The sequence below is a fragment of the Homo sapiens genome, chromosome 12 (assembly GCF_000001405.40).
Source record: "Homo sapiens chromosome 12, GRCh38.p14 Primary Assembly".
NCBI lineage: Eukaryota > Metazoa > Chordata > Mammalia > Primates > Hominidae > Homo > Homo sapiens.
Genome location: NC_000012.12, coordinates 92,133,265 through 92,152,001, shown reverse-complemented (window position 1 = coordinate 92,152,001; position 18,737 = coordinate 92,133,265). Strand labels below are relative to the sequence as shown.

At 41.4% G+C, this 18,737-nt stretch overlaps 1 protein-coding gene and 2 long non-coding RNA genes across 8 annotated transcripts in view, besides 9 other annotated features; 2 read left to right on the top strand and 1 right to left on the bottom strand.

The window, feature by feature from the left end:
• BTG1-DT (BTG1 divergent transcript) overlaps positions 1-5,917 on the bottom strand; it is a 39,700-nt gene extending 33,783 nt beyond the window's left edge. Inside the window, exons 1-3 of one of the 2 annotated variants that reach the window (NR_135037.1) lie at positions 5,759-5,917; positions 5,240-5,340; positions 2,440-2,705 (exon numbers count right to left, since the gene is read on the bottom strand). This is a non-coding gene — a long non-coding RNA (BTG1 divergent transcript). The remainder of the gene's footprint in view (positions 1-2,439; positions 2,706-5,239; positions 5,341-5,758) is intronic. The other variant, NR_135036.1, reaches the window with a different exon arrangement.
• Positions 5,505-5,804: an enhancer, noted in NCBI's record as "active region_6725". NCBI's record gives its function as "activates an Ori minimal core promoter by ATAC-STARR-seq in GM12878 lymphoblastoid cells {active_cell/tissue: GM12878}" and the evidence as "EXISTENCE:reporter gene assay evidence [ECO:0000049][PMID:35858748]".
• BTG1 (BTG anti-proliferation factor 1) lies at positions 6,156-11,724 on the top strand. The gene is made up of 2 exons (NM_001731.3): positions 6,156-6,614; positions 7,555-11,724. The coding sequence occupies exons 1-2, from the start codon at positions 6,467-6,469 to the stop codon at positions 7,920-7,922; spliced, it is 516 nt and encodes a 171-aa protein (NP_001722.1). The 5' UTR covers positions 6,156-6,466; the 3' UTR covers positions 7,923-11,724.
• Positions 6,395-6,714: a silencer, noted in NCBI's record as "silent region_4700". NCBI's record gives its function as "represses an Ori minimal core promoter by ATAC-STARR-seq in GM12878 lymphoblastoid cells {active_cell/tissue: GM12878}" and the evidence as "EXISTENCE:reporter gene assay evidence [ECO:0000049][PMID:35858748]".
• Positions 6,395-7,184: a biological region, named in NCBI's record as "H3K27ac hESC enhancer GRCh37_chr12:92538603-92539139".
• Positions 6,639-7,175: an enhancer, noted in NCBI's record as "H3K27ac hESC enhancer chr12:92538603-92539139 (GRCh37/hg19 assembly coordinates)". NCBI's record gives its function as "activates a minimal SCP1, AML or CMV promoter by ChIP-STARR-seq in naive H9 embryonic stem cells {active_cell/tissue: H9 hESC(naive)}" and the evidence as "EXISTENCE:reporter gene assay evidence [ECO:0000049][PMID:30033119]".
• Positions 7,135-7,184: an enhancer, noted in NCBI's record as "active region_6724". NCBI's record gives its function as "activates an Ori minimal core promoter by ATAC-STARR-seq in GM12878 lymphoblastoid cells {active_cell/tissue: GM12878}" and the evidence as "EXISTENCE:reporter gene assay evidence [ECO:0000049][PMID:35858748]".
• Positions 7,445-7,494: an enhancer, noted in NCBI's record as "active region_6723". NCBI's record gives its function as "activates an Ori minimal core promoter by ATAC-STARR-seq in GM12878 lymphoblastoid cells {active_cell/tissue: GM12878}" and the evidence as "EXISTENCE:reporter gene assay evidence [ECO:0000049][PMID:35858748]".
• Positions 7,515-7,754: an enhancer, noted in NCBI's record as "active region_6722". NCBI's record gives its function as "activates an Ori minimal core promoter by ATAC-STARR-seq in GM12878 lymphoblastoid cells {active_cell/tissue: GM12878}" and the evidence as "EXISTENCE:reporter gene assay evidence [ECO:0000049][PMID:35858748]".
• The window catches only part of LINC01619 (long intergenic non-protein coding RNA 1619), a 157,856-nt gene continuing 148,289 nt past the window's right edge, over positions 9,171-18,737 (top strand). For 4 of the 5 annotated variants that reach the window (NR_132340.1, NR_132341.1, NR_132339.1 and 1 more), the window contains exon 1: positions 9,171-9,395. This is a non-coding gene — a long non-coding RNA (long intergenic non-protein coding RNA 1619). Of the gene's footprint in view, positions 9,396-10,288; positions 10,352-18,737 lie in introns of those variants that run through there. The other variant, NR_046159.2, reaches the window with a different exon arrangement.
• Positions 9,782-10,071: an enhancer, noted in NCBI's record as "active region_6721". NCBI's record gives its function as "activates an Ori minimal core promoter by ATAC-STARR-seq in GM12878 lymphoblastoid cells {active_cell/tissue: GM12878}" and the evidence as "EXISTENCE:reporter gene assay evidence [ECO:0000049][PMID:35858748]".
• Positions 16,931-16,990: an enhancer, noted in NCBI's record as "active region_6720". NCBI's record gives its function as "activates an Ori minimal core promoter by ATAC-STARR-seq in GM12878 lymphoblastoid cells {active_cell/tissue: GM12878}" and the evidence as "EXISTENCE:reporter gene assay evidence [ECO:0000049][PMID:35858748]".

The window sequence follows — 18,737 nt, the reverse complement described above, 5'->3', positions numbered from 1 at the left end:
TTGTGTATATATTCCACATTTTCTTTATCCATTCATCCACTGATGGGCATTTAGGTTGATTCCATATATTGGCTATTGTGAATAGTACTGCAATAAGCATGGAAGTGCAGGTATCTCTTCAGTGTTGTTTTTAATTACAGAATTTTGCCATTACTTTTTCACAGCAATGGTTCTCCAACATTAGTACCTAGACAGTACCCTATCCCCAGAGTTTTTAATTCACAGGTTTAGAATGAAGGCAAAATTTTGCATTCCTATCAAGTTCCCAGGAAGACTCTGATGCTGCTGGTTTGGGGAACACATTGGGAGAACCAGTGAGAAGTCCCAATCCCTTGCTTCATTAGTTTAAGGGAAAGGGGAGGCTGAACGTAGTGGCTCACGCCTGTAATCCTAGCACTTTGGGAGGCTGAGGAGGGAGGATCGCTTGAGCCCACGAGTTCAAGACCAGCCTGGGCAACATAGGGAAACCCTGTCTCTACAAAAACCAAAAAAATTAGCTGGGCATGGTAGCGCGCACCTGTAGTCCCAGCTACTCAGGAGGCTGAGATGGGCAAGGCTGCGGGGTAGGGGTGGGGGGAGTGGCCGTGCATAACTTGAGCCCGAGAGGTAGAGGCTGCTGTGAGCTGTGATCCTGCCATTGCACTCCAGCCTAGGTGACAGAGTGAGAGACCCTGTTTCAAAAACTAAATGAATACAAGGAAGGGGAGGTCCATGTACCCCACTTCCCCCTTCAGAAAGTTATAAATACTATACTCCAGGATCATAATTTGTAAGAACTTTGTACGATTTTTCAAAGTTTCCAATGTTCCAGAGTTAATTCTTATTAACTCTTTCCCCACTCTACTGTTTTTTGTTTGTTTGTTTGTTTTGTTTTATTTGAGAGGGAGTCTCGCTCTGTCGCCCAGGCTGGAGTGCAGTGACGCGATCTCGGCTCACTGCAAGCTCCACCTCCCGGGTTCACGCCACTCTCCTGCCTCAGCCTCCCCAGTAGCTGGGACTACAGGCGCCCGCCACCACGCCCGGCTAATTTTTTTATATTTTTAGTAGAGACGGGGTTTCACTGTGTTAGCCAGAATGGTCTCAATCTCCTGACCTCGTGATCTGCCCGCCTCGGCCTCCCAAAGTGCTGGGATTACATGCGTGAGCCACCGCGCCCGGCTGTCTACTGTTAAACCTTAAAATTGAAGAGGTCTTTGGCAGCTGGGGGGTGCAGATAAACACTCAGTAACCCTGACCACCACGTGGTTGCCTCCGGTGACAATATAGACGGTGAGAGCTTTAAAAAGAGATAGGCCAGGAGGTTCTGGCACCAGGAAGGAGAAGGTTTGGGGAGGAGCCCAGCTTTGAGAAATGGCCCTGCAGCTATGCAGTAGAAAGTTGAGTGAGAATTCCCGGAGGCCACTGATCAGATTCAACAGTGACCTGGACACAAAACCATCCCTCCTTGCTGCCCTCCCACCTCCCCCACCGAACCCTCCAGGGCCCGCCTCAGTTGCTGGGCAAGAGAGATTGTGGAACTGACCAGGCCCCTGGTTCCTTTTGTCAATTTAGGCCAAAGGGGAAATGAAAAGTTTAAATGGTCTTAAATAGAAAGCACTTTTGCTACTTTCTCTTATCTGTACCTAGGGATAATTTTCATTCCAGTTAAATTATTTGGCAGATTAACATTTTAATATGTTCCTTGTTTCATTTTCCAGTGGGCCTTTTAATAAATGTAGCTGTATCTTACAGATTATGTCAGCTATGAGATGTCCCCTCAGCTGCCTTGAGTTTTGATTTTTTTTTTCCTACTACTATCTCTACTCATCTCCAGATGGTCTTCTAACTTTATCAGGTTTTATTTCTCAAGGTCCTTTTTAGGAAAGGTAATATCAGGAGCTCCCTTGAAAACCCTACCAGGTATTTAGAGCTCAAATTTTGTAGTCCATGACTTGAGAGTTCAAATCTGGCTGTAAAACCTTGGGTAAATTACTTATTTTCTTTAAGACTGTATTCTTATATGTTAAATGCTGTCAACTATACTCACTCGATTGGGTTTCTTAGAGAATTAAATGGGAAAGCATGGCTGGGTGCGGTGGCTCATGCCTGCAATTCCAGCACTTTGGGAGGCTGAGGTGAGTGAATCGCTTGAGCCCAGGAGTTCAAAACCAGCCTGGGCAACATGGTGAAACCCCGTCTCTACCAAAAAATTCAAAAATTAGCCAGGCGTGGTGGAACGTGCCTGAAGTCCCAGCTATTCAGGAAGCTGAGTGGAAAGATAAGCTTGAGCCCAGGAGGCGGAGGTTGCAGTGAGCTGTGATCGCACCGCCACACTCCAGCCTGGGCAACAGAGTGAGTCTCAAAAAAAAAAATAAATAAATAAATAAATAAAAAGAGAGAGATAGAAAGCATGTAAAACACTTAGCACTGATGCATTGTTAATGATAAAATGATAATAACCTGCATTATTACTTTTGTTGTTAAGCGATGCTTCACTCCTTTTTCCTCCCACTCTCCAAACAATCTGAATAGCTTCCACCAGAAGAAACTGAGTTTTGTCTAAAATCATTATGTGTCACCCTCTGACTGAAAGTTCTTTTGTGTTTTGTGAATCGCAGTAGATCTAAACCCAGTGCAAATGTCTTAGCTTGTGTCCTTGGATTCTTATTCAAGCAGAGCAAGTCAGGGTGCTAGCAGGGAGGCAACTAAAAGTGGTCTTCTCCTTTCTGCGGGTAACAAAAAAATAGATAAATAAGAGGCATAGGTATCTAGTTGAAGACATAAGCCCACAAGAAAAGCTAACTTATTTAAAGATAAATCTGATCATATAATCTGTCTGCTAAAAACACTCTCAAGAGTACTCTCAAGTACCCTATGCCTGCCTCCATCTACCAGTTTTTTCAACAATACTTATCCTCCTTGGTTTATGCCTTTGAGATACTCCAAGATCAAGCCCGTTCCTTTCCTCCAAGGAGAACTAATCTTGGGTCACTTTCATTGGCTTAGCTGAGATCATTCACTTTTGGGGTTTTCTTATTTTCCCTCTGCCCCGCAACACACAAATAAATAAGTGCCCTGTCTCTATTTGCCATTAACACTCTCTCAAGAACTCTCACTTGACTCTGTACTTATTGGTTAAGTTGTGAGTTTTCTAGACACCTAGCACTCTATCTGGAAGTAGGTGCGTAATAAGCACAACTTTAGTGACTGCAGCTAGCTGACTAGCAACAGGCAGGTTGCCTCTGGCTCAGTCTGGAAGGCCCTGGCCCTAATGTGCCTTCAGGGAAAGGGCGGGTCCAACTGGGGAAACAATATCTAATATTTGTGCTTTTATTTGTCAACTTATTTTAAAACCCAGGTTCATTTTTTGAATTTGTTTTGACAGCATTCCTAAGATTTTTAATACTTTGATTAGAAATGTTCTAAGTTTTAGAAATTAATTAGACAGGCCAGGCGTGGTGGCCCACGCCTGTAATCCCTAAACTTTGAGAGGCCGAGGCGGGTGGATCACCTGAGATCAGGAGTTTGAGACCAGCCTGGCCAACATGGTGAAACCCCATCTCTACTAAAAATACAAAATTTAGCCAGGCGTGGTGGTGCATGCCTGTAATCCCAGCTACTCGGGAGGCTGAGGCAGGAGAATCACTTAAACCTGGGAGTCGGTGGCTGCAGTGAGCCAAGATCGCGCCACTGCACTCCAGCCTGGGTGACTGAGCGAGACTCTATCTCAAAAAAAAAAAAAAAAAATTTCATAAATTACTATCAAATTGCATGATAATAATAAAGTACTTGGGAGAGCCTTGGTAAACTTAGCACAACAACACAGAAAGCACCTTTGTAATTCAAAAGCTGTCCAGAAATACCTGCTTGTTTCCCAGATGGGAAGGGCCTGACTAAACTTCCAGAAAATGTGACTAAACATATATATGTCAGGAATTGAAAACTATTAGCAATGAACATTATGTACCATCTAAGGCTTACGTTTAAGACTAATGTTTATTTCCAGTTTTTTTCTGAGTACTCTGTAGATTCCCAAGTTAAAAATTACTGTAGTTTCTCAAATCAGTTTGTCTCCTAATGGGATGATTTAAGGTGGGAAACACACATATATAATTTGAAAAACTCAGTGCGGGAAGTAACTCTCCCTGAGTCTATGGGTTAAACTTTCTGTTAACCCTGTTCAACTGGTTTTATAAGGCTTTCAGAAGGGGTCCTGCTGCTGCTAGTGCAGGCAGTTAAAAATAGTATGGAGAACAAGGGCTTGGGGGAAGTCTGAGTCCAATCCTAGCATTTTGTTGATTTAATATTTCTGTTTTTTAGATGAGACAATTTAAGCACATGACCGAGAGGCCAAGTTGGAGACCAGGTTTAGAAGAGAAAAACTTTCACTTGACTCCTAATTTGTACTCAGTGACACATTAACGACAATGTAAGTGAAAGCAGGGAACTAAGGGTGGGTCAGGTTAGGTGGGAGACCAGGAGTTGTTATTCTAGTGTTATGGTAATTTCATGAATTTACTTTTGCTTCTCGATCTTCTTTTTGAGTAGTAAAAGAGGTTTCATGCCTCCAGTGAAATTACTATTTTTAAGCAGAGTTCTATCTGAAAAGTTCTATAAGAAAAAAAAAAACCACTCTTTAATTTTTTCACATGTAACTACTTAGTTATGTGTACTAATGAAAAAATAATCTAGAAGTTATTTTTTCAAATCGAGTTTTACATATTTTTTAAACAATAAAACGTTTTCTCCTGTTTTATAATGTCATTATTTTTGCTTCATTTCTATATCCTTTAGCTCAGTATTAAAAAGAAAAAAAAAACACTCAAAGTGGTGTGTTTTGCAATATTGATGATCAACTAAGGTCGGGATATTTATTTCCATCTGGTAGAGTTCAACTTCTGCCTCCTGTTTGCTTTCTCCATCTGCCTGCCTCCCTTCATCTTTCTTTTTTTCTTTTCCCCCTTCTCCTTAATGGAGTTGGGGTTAACCCTGTCTTAGGCCTAATCGTTTTAGCAGGCTCCCGCCTTCCTGTTACACTGGTTTTTAAGGTTGTTTTTTTTTTTTTTTGGTAGGGTTTCAAATAAACTTGAATGTCTACACTTAATACTTTCACAAGCTTCAAATTCTTTTTATTTTATTTTTATAAAGAGCAGGACTCAGGCTAGGACGGCATTTGGACTAGGTAAAAAAGAAAATCTTCAGTTTTGTGCACACAAGTTTTAAAATACATTGTACAGATTTTTTTTTTTTGGATACACACCACTCTTTACAGGATCCGCGTTATATCTGCTTTCAGTAACTGGCTCTCCTGTCCGCATCCAGTAAGGTTTCCACTCTTCTCTCCGTTGACTGCTGAAGTTACTGAAACAGCAACCACAAATGGCCTTACTAACCTACTTATTTTGCAATTAAACTTTTAAAAGATATCCCCCTACTCCTCCCCTAGGGTGGAACAGAAATGGCTCCGCGGCGTTGGCAGCTCGTCTGCGAGGGGACCCTGGCTCCCCGAGGCTGCAGTCCTTTTTCTTGGACAGAACGCCCCGCAGGACCGTTCCCTCCACTTTCCCCCGCACTAAGGCAGCGCACCGCCAGCACACACAGCGCTGGCGCCCGCATCGCGCCGCACCACACGCGTCTCCGGCTTGAGGAGCCAGTCACCGAGACCCGGAGCGGGAACGAGATGTAAACACGGAGTGGGGACATGCAGCCCGATCTGAGAAGGCGGCGTGAAGAGTAGACACAGCCTGCGCCAGGCGGTTCTTATTTACCCAGCACTTACACTCCAGGGCAAGCGGGCCCAGGCAGCGCACTCTTGGAGAAGGATGCACTGGCGCAGAGCCTGGACCTGCTGAAGCGGGAAGGAGGAGCTAGGGCTGGGGGCGGAGCTTTCACACGCGCACCCTCTGTTCCCTCCCTCCCTCCCTCGACACAAGCAACTGGGTCTCCAGCCGCCACTCCGGGTTTATTTGTTTACAAGCGGATTACGTCAGCTCCTCCCTCTCTTCCCTATCTCTGGACCCGCCTCCTGAACTCTTTTCCCGCCCCTTTCGGCTCCGAACCGGCTTGCGTCACAATGGTGCGATATTCGGATTGGCTGGAGTCGGCCATCACGCTCCAGCTACGCCACTTCCTTTTCGTGGCACTATAAAGGGTGCTGCACGGCGCTTGCATCTCTTCGCCTCTCGGAGCTGGAAATGCAGCTATTGAGATCTTCGAATGCTGCGGAGCTGGAGGCGGAGGCAGCTGGGGAGGTCCGAGCGATGTGACCAGGCCGCCATCGCTCGTCTCTTCCTCTCTCCTGCCGCCTCCTGTCTCGAAAATAACTTTTTTAGTCTAAAGAAAGAAAGACAAAAGTAGTCGTCCGCCCCTCACGCCCTCTCTTCCTCTCAGCCTTCCGCCCGGTGAGGAAGCCCGGGGTGGCTGCTCCGCCGTCGGGGCCGCGCCGCCGAGCCCCAGCCGCCCCGGGCCGCCCCCGCACGCCGCCCCCATGCATCCCTTCTACACCCGGGCCGCCACCATGATAGGCGAGATCGCCGCCGCCGTGTCCTTCATCTCCAAGTTTCTCCGCACCAAGGGGCTCACGAGCGAGCGACAGCTGCAGACCTTCAGCCAGAGCCTGCAGGAGCTGCTGGCAGGTGAGCAGGGCGAGGGCGTCGGAGGGACGCGGGCCCCACATCCCTGGGTCAGAGTCCGGCCGTCGGGGCTGCGGGAACCTCGGCAGCGCCCCGGGGCCGGTCGCGCTTGGGCCCCGCCGCGGGACCGGTGTGGTTGCGCTGGGTGGCCGCTAACAGCGGTTCCCCGCGAGGCTTTAGGGGCTGGACGGAGGGCGCCCCCTTCCCCCCAGCTGGCAAAACGGAGAGGAGAAGACAACACGCACAACAAAGAAACTTAAGCCCACCGAGGCGGGAGCTGCGGTCCGAGGACCGTCGGCGGATTTGGGGACAAAGGAGCCGTGGGGCTGGGGTGGGTTCGACGTCCCCTTTCCTCAGCCCCCTCCAACCGTTGCGTGGTCGGCGGCCCAGCCCCGGGGTGGGAAGCTGCGCCGCTGCCCCGGAGCCAGCTCAGAACGGACGTGCCGTCTCCCCGCGCCTCCTGCCCCTGCCCATTAATCATCGGATTTGTCACCGGCACAATTAACAGCCCTGCCCAGAGCGTGGTTTAGGGTTGCTTGTTTTTCTTCCCTTCGGGGTTAACAGTCCGGTGGCGCTTCTCATCTCCAAAGCCATCAACTCCATTGTGTGCATCTGGGGTGGGGTGGAGAAAGTAAACAGTTTCTCGCCTGGCCATAGGTGCCAGTGGCTTCCCGACTGGCCGAGGCTGCGCGCCTGATTCCTGTTTTGGCGGCTCAACCGGTTGGTTCCTGGAGATTGTTTTGTCCGGTACTACTGTGTTATTTCTAAAACCCTGCCCGCTTTTTCCATCCCCGCACATGCACAACAACGGATGCAATCCTGGACATTTTAAAAAGTTGATAGTTTTCATTTTCGCTCCTCAAAGGAGCCTGGGGTAGGAGGAATCCGCAGTGGGAGCTAACGATCCTAAGCGTTGTTTCTCTGTTCTTCTTTTCTTCTATAGAACATTATAAACATCACTGGTTCCCAGAAAAGCCATGCAAGGGATCGGGTTACCGTTGTATTCGCATCAACCATAAAATGGATCCTCTGATTGGACAGGCAGCACAGCGGATTGGACTGAGCAGTCAGGAGCTGTTCAGGCTTCTCCCAAGTGAACTCACACTCTGGGTTGACCCCTATGAAGTGTCCTACAGAATTGGAGAGGATGGCTCCATCTGTGTGCTGTATGAAGCCTCACCAGCAGGAGGTAGCACTCAAAACAGCACCAACGTGCAAATGGTAGACAGCCGAATCAGCTGTAAGGAGGAACTTCTCTTGGGCAGAACGAGCCCTTCCAAAAACTACAATATGATGACTGTATCAGGTTAAGATATAGTCTGTGGATGGATCATCTGATGATGATGGATAAATTTGATTTTTGCTTTGGGTGGGCTCCTCTTGGGGATGGATTATGGAATTTAAACCATGTCACAGCTGTGAAGATCTGGCACAAGATAGAATGGTAAAAAAAAAAAAAATTTTAAGTGACAGTGCCATAGTTTGGACAGTACCTTTCAATGATTAATTTTAATAGCCTGTGAGTCCAAGTAAATGATCACTTTATTTGCTAGGGAGGGAAGTCCTAGGGTGGTTTCAGTTTCTCCCAGACATACCTAAATTTTTACATCAATCCTTTTAAAGAAAATCTGTATTTCAAAGAATCTTTCTCTGCAGTAAATCTCGCAGGGGAATTTGCACTATTACACTTGAAAGTTGTTATTGTTAACCTTTTCGGCAGCTTTTAATAGGAAAGTTAAACGTTTTAAACATGGTAGTACTGGAAATTTTACAAGACTTTTACCTAGCACTTAAATATGTATAAATGTACATAAAGACAAACTAGTAAGCATGACCTGGGGAAATGGTCAGACCTTGTATTGTGTTTTTGGCCTTGAAAGTAGCAAGTGACCAGAATCTGCCATGGCAACAGGCTTTAAAAAAGACCCTTAAAAAGACACTGTCTCAACTGTGGTGTTAGCACCAGCCAGCTCTCTGTACATTTGCTAGCTTGTAGTTTTCTAAGACTGAGTAAACTTCTTATTTTTAGAAAGTGGAGGTCTGGTTTGTAACTTTCCTTGTACTTAATTGGGTAAAAGTCTTTTCCACAAACCACCATCTATTTTGTGAACTTTGTTAGTCATCTTTTATTTGGTAAATTATGAACTGGTGTAAATTTGTACAGTTCATGTATATTGATTGTGGCAAAGTTGTACAGATTTCTATATTTTGGATGAGAAATTTTTCTTCTCTCTATAATAAATCGTTTCTTATCTTGGCATTTTAATCAATCTCTTGTCATGATTATAGAGGTTTAGCTAAAAGTATTTTTTCTTAGAAGACAGGTTCTATAAACTGAATCTCTGTTGCACACTGGTCATGCTGGAAAAACATTTGATGAGGAATGAAGATGCTCTGTATATACATGTTTAGGTTTTACAGGAAACACAGGAGTAGCATGTTTTAAAAATTTCTAAAGTCAAAACATGGACACATTCACAGGCTAATGATCTCATGAAATAAGGATAAGAGACCACGGTAGCATCTACCAAAAATGTGATACTCAAAGGATTACATTTCATTGCTTCCCTGTTGAAGTGAAGATATAAATGTTCCATTCTGACCCACCTTTGAAAAACAATTACTTTGCCCCATGGATTCTTTGTTCAATTAGAAATTTCCCCGGGGCAGGTGACCCATAGTCTTAAAGAACAGGCTAAACACCACAGAGAGATTGGTTGCTTTTTGCTTTTCATCACCTGCAAGATGTACATAAAAATCACATAAGCTGGAATTCAACAAAAGGTATGTTTATGAACTTTTATTCTCAAAAGTTGAAATGCTGACTTTCTCGATTCCTCATTTTCAGACTTTTATTTCAGATAAATACTAAAAACCTAAGTGAACCTTGATAATGCTGTAGTGTAGATTACTTCACTACCCCATATAATAGAAGGACTTGCTGTTTAGTTGTAGAGGATAACAGCGTTTTTCAGTGGAAATTGAAAGTGGAAAAATTGAATTTTGCTCTACACAGTTAACATATAGTGGCCTTTTTTTGGTATATATGTAAACATGTTGACACTGGAAATACGCAGTCTGAAATAAAATTAGTAATTACTTGAAATTAGTAATCTCAAATAACTTTTAAGAAGTTATTTCTACACCCAGGAATAAATTATTCTGATTTTGTAGACAACACAGGAATAGGCCACTGAATATGCAGGTATTTAGAGTACAAATGTCTGTGGATATTATTGGCACACCATTCTCGAGAGTTAGAATTCGTAGACCCGCAACACATGGACTACCCTTGCCAATTGTTATGGTTTTATTTTTAAACCTATTCTGTGAAAAAGCTCCTCGGTATTTCAAACTTGAATTACAATAAAAACACCAGGTAGGGTTGTTTTTAAATGGGTCTCACCCCAGTGCTGACTACTGTTGTTTACCAACTACATTTCATCTGGTAACTCCATTGAAACTAAGTACCTCAACCATTTTTTTTTTTTATCATAAAGCCTTTTTTCAAATGGAAAGTTGTTTTTGAAGATCTTGACATCAGACTTTTTCAATCTTTGAAAATGATGGAAACAGTTAATAAAAATGTTTATTTTAGAATTCAGGTGATGTCTGGCTTGTGAGGAGCTGTTTATAAGTTTGTCTTTGAAAAAGGCTTGCACACATCACTCTGAGACCAGCTGTTTCCTGTGACTTTAACCTTACCTTCCCCAGACAATTGAGCTGAACCTGTATCTGCGGTACAGTAGCTGTTTGTGATGTATTTCTTGTTCACTGTTTCTGGGGAATGTTTTGAAATATTTTATTATAAATCCTTTTAAGATAGGATGACTACTTTCAAAATTATTGTTGCCTTTGGCACCAGGAATTCATAGTTGTGATTGGCAGTAAGTTTGAGGAGTGTTACTTTCTAAGTTTTAACAGGTAGTTTTGAAATTATTTCCTTTTTTCCAAATTTAAGTAGTGCCTCCCTCTGTAATGTTGAAACAAGGCTTCAAGTGGATTGTATAGCAAGAGTTACCCTGGTTCATGCAGGATAATGCGGCTGTTATCTTTGTCATCTGGAATGGGAATCTCATGTCTTTATCCTTATGTGCAATATTTCTATAATAATAGACTGGAAAGGCCACCAGAAAGTGGCTTTCAGGTACATTGCACAAATAGTTTCCTTAAGTCATTATAACTCACACATTGCAAGTAATTAATTTTGTTTTGTATAGGTGTTGCAGTTTATGAAATTGGCCTTCAAGTTAAAAGGAAGGAAGCCGTATTCCCGATGGCTAGTGTTTAATGACTACAGGTTTCCAGGCTCCCTTTAATCTTGGGAGCAAATAAATCTACTATTGGACTTCTCCCTGCGTGACTTTTAACATTTCTGATACTCTCTCTTCTTCCTCTTTACAGAAGAGAGGTATGATAACTGAAGTTGTACTTTGCATATTGAAGTTTAAAGATACTTCCTCTCCCCTTTTCACCCCTATTTCAAATGATGTGATAAAATCCTCTTGATAGGCTATATGGAGAACATTTGTCAATAGTTTTATCTATGCATGGAAGTCTTCAAAAAGTATATCTTGGATTGTCTAAAACTGAATAGATTTCTTATTTATCTGAAGGTATACAGACTGCCAACATTTTAGACTTATCTCTCAGTCTCTGCCACTGAACTTTTATATATGGCTGCTATCAAAATATAACCGGTTTATTTTCATATTTGGAACTAATATAACAGTATCACAAAATCTTTTACAGTAAGATAGTTTGTAATACCAGCCGACCCAGCTGCTTAACTGAGTCCTTAAATCATTTAATATATGGGACTGTAAATAGAGAAATCTGTACATTATGAGATCTGATTTCTGGTTATGCCTATAGATCTTTATTTTCTTTATCCCTATAGATCATTTTCTTCTGATGTTAAGTGTTATATTTTTGAAATGCTCCTAAACAAGTAAGCCTTAGATTGTATTAATCCTGAGGATTGATACCATTTCCTCAACACTTTGTGGAGTATGATTGACACCAGTTTTTTTTTGACTGCAGGTTTAACTTGGCTTATCACTTTTCGTATTGCTCAGTATGTCCAAGATAGGAATAAAAAAATGTAGTTCAACTTCTGACTGTTATTTATGAGCCTTTTCATGGTATTTATCATTTTAGTATTGAAGATGCAGTGTTCTTTTGGGAATTACGTATGCTTAGAAGAGAGTACTGATGCTCAAAGGTGAAATGATTTGAATCTAGAGTTGGATAAAAAGGGAAAGGATGGGGAAAATGAAAACTGGGAAGCTAAACTGAGAAGGAATTGCAAGGTTTGGTGATAAAAATTCATTTGCTATGGTCATAGTTGTGTATCGAGAGGTTTGCACAGCACAGTCTCTTGGCAGAGTTTAGGAATCTCTACTCTGGGGATTCTGCAGTTCATGAATCGTCAGGGAGACTCTGCATTCAATTTGTTTCTGTGAACATGCAGGTGAAAGTGGTAGTACAGGTGGAACTTCATGGGAACTGGTTTTGGGGGAGGTGTGGATGGAAAGCACAAATGTCTCAGTATTTTCTAAAGGGAGACTATTTTTAAAGGTGTCTTGTTACAAACCACTTGATTATAGCCTCTTTTCTTGTACCTTTAAGTTGTGAAGGCCATTTGTGACTCATTCCTGGTGGTAGAAAAATGACCAAGTGTAGGCCAGACATATAACATCACATTAGTACCATTATAGTTAACTGGATCCCTGTATTTGGAGAATATTACATCAAACACTATGTATAATTTCAAATTGTAGCATTAATAGGAGATACTTCACCCGTGAGTACATTTACTTTTAGTGATTCTCTAGATGGTCATCTCCAAAGTTATTTTGTCATTCTTTTAGAATATTTTTGTATGTATTTTCATGTGTGCATGCAAAAGCATGTGGCACATTTTCTAAACAAATATACATATATTTGACATACACTAAAAATTTTGTTGATAGGATGCATGATCAGAAACATTTAGAGACTATTTCTTTAGGTTTTCACTAAAGTAGATGAATATTTGCTCTCCCCAAAATAACTCATAATTATGTTCTTTAAGTGGTAAGTCTTAAAATGACAAGTTAGTGTAGCAATACAAAGAGGATTGCCTTGTATAAGTTTAACTTATTTGCATAAGTCTTTATAATAATAAAACTAAGTCATCCTTTACAGCCAACAGATATCCAAATTGTGTTACACCAATTTGAAATCTATGTTCCCATATATTCAACTATGTGTTGCTGTGTGTTGAAATTCACATTTTTGTTTCTCAGAAGTTTTTTTTTAAATCTTAGGGTCTTTGTAACATTGATATGCATGGTTGTAAGAGAACTGAATTATCGAAGTTGTAGATGGGTGATTTAATTATTTTAGTAGTTATGGCTTAGCAAGAAAGGCCCTGTATCTTTTCCCTCTTGTTCTGAGCCATCCCTAAATTTTTGAAGGAAAAGATGACTAACAAATTGGACTTTATTTGAGAAGATTCCATAAATGACCATAAGCCATAAAATGATTAGACTTGACAATTGCTTTATGAGCAGATTTGAGTACACTTTCTAGTAGTTGTCTTGATTTATGGCAGTTTTGTCCCAAGTCAGTAGACTAAATGGAGTTGTATTTCCCACAAATTGTACTTGTGAGTCTTCAAGTTATCAATATATATTCTAATTTGACCTTCCAACAACTGGATGAGGTTGGCAAGTGGGTCAGTATTTTTTATCTTCATTTTATGGATAGAAAACTGAGGCTTAGAGAGCTTAAGTAATTTACCCTAAAGCCAGACAGCTCGTAAACAGCTAATTCACAATTTGAATTCAGGCTTTTCTGATCACAGAATCCAAACTCTTAACTATTGTTACATTGTGATGCATGATTTATCTACCTTCTTTTACACTGTTGGAACATGTATTTTAACTTCTCATTGTGAGTTGGCCATCTTTGGTTATTTTCAGCCTTGAAACTCTTTCACTATGTTCCGGAGGCATATAGCAGTCTACAATTAGGCTCCTTTCTTTGAGAGGCAGTTGGAATTTAGCATAAAGAATACTAGTCTGGGACTCAGACCAATAAGTTGAAATCTTGACTTGTACCAACTTGTGACTTTGGACCAGTTGCTTAGCCTCTCTGAGCCCATCATTCCTTGTGTAATAATGGAGACAAGTCATTTGTTGTCAAGGTAAACATGAAATCATATAGCTAGTGAATGTTTGGATTCTTGGAATTTGAATACTCTATCATGGAGGCCAACAAAATATAGCTGATTGTTTTCTTGTGTGTGTGTGTGTGTGTGTGTGTTTTAACAATTTGATCATAGTATGATTGTTAGGAGTTTCTTGAAAGATTGCTTTAGCCTATAGCTGCAAGAAATGTACTTGCGTTTTTGAAATACAATAATATAGGAAGGAAAATGAACTGCTTTTCCATTGTGAAGGATGGAAATAGACAACACAGGCCTTGCATCTTATTTTATAGAGCTTTCCTGAGCTGTGTGCCTAACATTGTGGTTTTCAGAGCTATTTTCTCAGTAAAAAAAGAGTCCTTCAGATCCTTTGTCTATATTGAAGACACCTTAAGTTGAGAGATGGAGTAATGCAACCGAACATATATAGCAATGTAGCCCTGTACAAAGCATGTTTGCTTCCATTATGTTTTTTAATCCTCACAACAACCCTTTGCTATATGAAGTTGACTTTTCCCAGGGTTTTTAGTCCTTCAAACCATTGGTATTTGGCCATGCTTTTGCAAGAGATTTTCAAACAGTGATTTTTAAACAGAACTCAGTGGTTCTCAATCTTCTTAATCTAGAGTGGTGTGAGTATTTCCTTTACTGCAAAGAAAAGCAGCCTTTTTATAAATTGTCAGTTTGAATTTGAGTTTCTTCCTGTGATGTAACCTGATGCAATGTTTGCCTGAATCACTAATAATGTAACTGATTTCCCCTAGCCAGTCATAAATGAGTCAGTGATCACGGATTCTTTTAGTTTATACTCAAGTTGCTTTTTCTGTGTGCAGATATCCTCATTGAATAGCTTGCTGTTGGGCTTGTATAGCATTATGGTTTACATCAGGGAAGTAGATAGCCAGCAGAGCTTTGTGCTAATTTATTTTGCAATCCTATAGGAAACAAAGGACCCATTCTTTGTTGAACCTGAAGAGACTTCTAGGGAAAATCAGCCTCTGACCCTTTCAGAAGTCTTGCATCTTAAAGCTCGTGTGTGGTTCAGGCCATGCTTGAACCTATGTGTGTAGCCTTATAAGTCAGTCAGTGTGCCCCTATAATGTTTAAGATTGTGATGTAAGAATAAGAGTTTGGAACCCATTAAAACAAGGGTTAGGTGGCCAGTGTTGTCAGGAATATTTCTCTCTCTCAAGCCGGTAGTCATTGTTACAATTAAGGATGGAGCTCTTAGGTAATATCACTAGATACAAGCTCTTTTTCCCTCTCAGATTCTTGCACTTTTTTCCACTACCCTTTAAGTCTTTCAGTTATTTTTTAACTTTCTTAAGATATTTTCTGGTCATTAATATACAAGTGGTGTTTTGTCTTGTGTCTATCACCTATATCTCTTACATTCATTTATTAAACACATACTTGTTGAGTCCCTCCATGTGCCAAGTACTGTGATAAGCACTAGGGTTGCAAAAATAGTCACTGTGCTTGCCCTCAATGAGCTTGGAACCTAGTGGCAGAGAGAGGGTTATCCAACAAATGTTGGGCTGGATCTGAGACATGCTGAGGAAAAGGGAAGTGGTGAAGTGGTGTCCTGAGAGCTCTAATAGAGAGATAGGACTGCCATAGAAAGGTTTCCCAGAGGAAGGGACACTTGAGCTGAGATCTGAGGAATGAGTAGGGGTTTAAGTGGAGAAGGCAGGCGAGAGAGAGAGAGGAATATGCACAAAACCTGGCTCAAGAGTAATGGTGAACAGGAGGGGTTGGACAAAGACCAGTGAAACTGGAATGGAGAGAAATTAATGGGAGTGAGGCCAAATCGTGGGGCTTTACAGGTAGCGTGTCCATTTGATTGATAACCATTTGAGTGACCATTTTGGTTGATAAAATTTGAGAATTTTATCAACCAAACCGTGATTCTTGAGAGTAAAAGAGGGTGCTGTTAATTATTAAACACAGACTATAAGCATCAGCCAGGACATATGGTCACCTCGCTTTTATAGGCCTTGTTAACAGTATTATCTCTTTTTAAAGCGTTGGCAACCAGCAGTGTGTTTACTTCCTAATGAAGGTGTCAGGGAGTTGGTCCAAAAAGGACCCAAATGGAACTCAAAGGCTGGGTTTTTCCAAACGGCTAGATTGATTTTTTTTTTCCCGATACAGATATTAGTGACCCTTTAACGTTTTAAAAGTTTGGCATAAAAAGATGGATTTTATTGTGAGCTACTAGATTAGAGTCACTTTCATGGTGTATGAAACAGCACAATTCAAACAGATCTTGAATATTTTCTATATCTTTAAAATATAGCACTTGTCATTTTTGCAAAGGAGTTTTATTTAAATAGGATTTCTTTTCTTTTCTTTTCTTTTTTTTTTTTGAGACGGAGTCTCACTCTGTTGCCCAGGCTGGAGTGCCCAGACTGGAGTGCAGCGGCACGATCCCGTCTCACTGCAACTTCCACCTCCCGAGTTCAAGTGATTCTCCTGCCTCAATGTCCCAAGTAGCTGGGATTACAGACACACGCCACCATACCCAGTTAGTTTTTGTATTTTTAGTAGAGACGGGTTTCACCATGTTGGTCAGGCTGGTCTCGAACTCCTGACCTCAAGTGATCCACCTGCCTCTCAGCCTCCCAAAGTGCTGGGATTACAAGTGTGAGCCACTGCGCCCAGCCTAAATAGGATTTAAAAAATAGTTTCATTTTAGGTTTACATTTTGAGTATACGTACCTCCTGGACAATAACTTTCAAAGTATGGGCCACTTAAATTATTTTCTTTAAGTTGATGTAAAAATCTGTATAATCAAATGCAAAGAGTTCAGGGAATTTTGCACACCCATATAATCTACACCCTGATCAAGAGCTAGAACATTTTTGCCACCGCAGAAAATTCCGTTTTGGGACGCTTAATGTTTGATTCAGAAATATGGCTGTGGAGCCAGGCCTCAAATTAGAAATAAGTTGTTTTCCCTCTCCTTTTATAACTTTTATTTTTGCTTCCTAAACATGCGGCAGTGGTTACTTTAAACATGAAGCAAATTGTCTCCAGAAGAAACCGTTGCCTTTCGACTAGTTATGATTTAGGGGTTGGTAATATAGTACATCCCTGCCCAATTTGCTATGGGTTTTTCATCCTTAAAGTAAAATCTGAGTCATATCCCCATCACTGACTCATAAGCTTACTAAGGATTGCCTGTTTATTATTAGGCCTAAGCGTTAGAATCTTGATCAATCAAAAAAGATTGTGATAATGTCACATTTACATAATACCTTTCTCTCCTCCCCTATTTTTCATTTTAGCCTGTTTATGTCACTCTATAGTGAGTTATGAAAATAAGAAGAGGGGACAAGTGTCAAGCCAGTGTTATATAGCTGAGTCCTAGCCTTGAGTACTTCTTTTCCTCTCAAAATTCTCAACATCAGTTGCCAGAGAGCATTTAGAATATTGACCTAAGTTACAGTGCAATTCGTTGTGAAATTGATTCAATTTAAGGGTTATGTGTCACTGTCTTGAAAGATTCTTGAATCAGAGACAAAGTCTTGTCCTAAAAACACTGTTCTTAATGAGTTTGGGATCTACTGAGGGATAGTGATTGAAAAGGGAGCTTACTCCTTTTTCCCCCTGTAGTTTTCAGGTTCTCGTTTGGAACCTGATCTGGGACCAGATCTTGAATTAACTGTTTTTTTTTTTCCTGAGAGGGTCAATGTGGTCTGCTTAACAAAACCTCTGCTGTCAAAGCACTGGTGGGCTGTGGTGGTGGTTTTTAGGCATTTCTTTCTCAGCACAGCAATACATAATATTTCAGTACCAGTTGGGCTTTTTGCTTTTTTTTTCCCCTCTACACTCCATTTTAGAAAGAATGGCAAATCAGTGAAGATATAACGTGGGTTAAAGCCAGATTTGGTCAGTGGAAAGACTTGTTAATAACCCATTTTCAATTGGAGAAGCTCCTGCCTACTCTGATTACACATTCATTTCACTAGTAGGTTTGTTCCTCATTTTAAAAAGGAATCCCATCACTCATTAAGCACAGGACAAGTCAATGTGACATTTAACTCTGTGCATATTGAGGACAATTTTTCCTTCATTCGTGCCTCTTCCTGGCAAGCCATCCCAGTGCCACTAGGCAGCTTTCAACCCCCTGTTCTGCTGCTCTGCTTCTGTAAAATTCTGTCCTGATGCCTCAGGCACTTCCTGCAGCCTTCCTGAGTGTCAGGACTGTGCTAAGTACCTTTGTGCATCCCCTCACTGACTCCTCATCACAAGCCTGTAAATGTAGACATTTGTTGTTATAGTCATCTGTCATTTGAGAATATTATGATACAGAGATGTTATATCACTTGCCCAAGGTCACACAGCTATGGGCTGATTTGGAGCTAGCATCCAGATTTGTGTAAGATCAAGCACTAGCTTCTAACCAATACATATCACCTCCCCAAGCATTGGTTTCTTTTCTGATCCTGTTGCATTGTAATTGTTTGCATTCATGTCTGATTTTCCCATTAGACAGGAAGATATGAAAGTCAGGGACAACTCTTAGACCAGAGCTTTAGAAGATGCCAAAATTAGATTAACAGATTGTTCATTTATAAATATTTATTTGGCACCTACTATGCACCCAGTATTGTTCTGGGCACTTGGAGATATAGCAGTGAACCAAACAAAAATCCCTGCCCTCAGAGAGGTAAATAAGCAAAGAATATGTATGCTGTGTTAGATGGTGACAGGTGCTGACGATCAGAGCTGCTGTGTTAGTTCTGTGAGTGTTACTTCCTGGAGTTGTGCAAAATTGTGCATGATCTTGTCTGAAAAAGGAGAGAGGGAGGGAGGGAATTGCTGGAGTGGAACTATTTTAAGTAAAATAGTCAGGGAAGGCCTCAACTGATAAGGTGACATTTAAGCAGAAACTTGGAGACCAGAGAAACAGCTCAGGAGATAT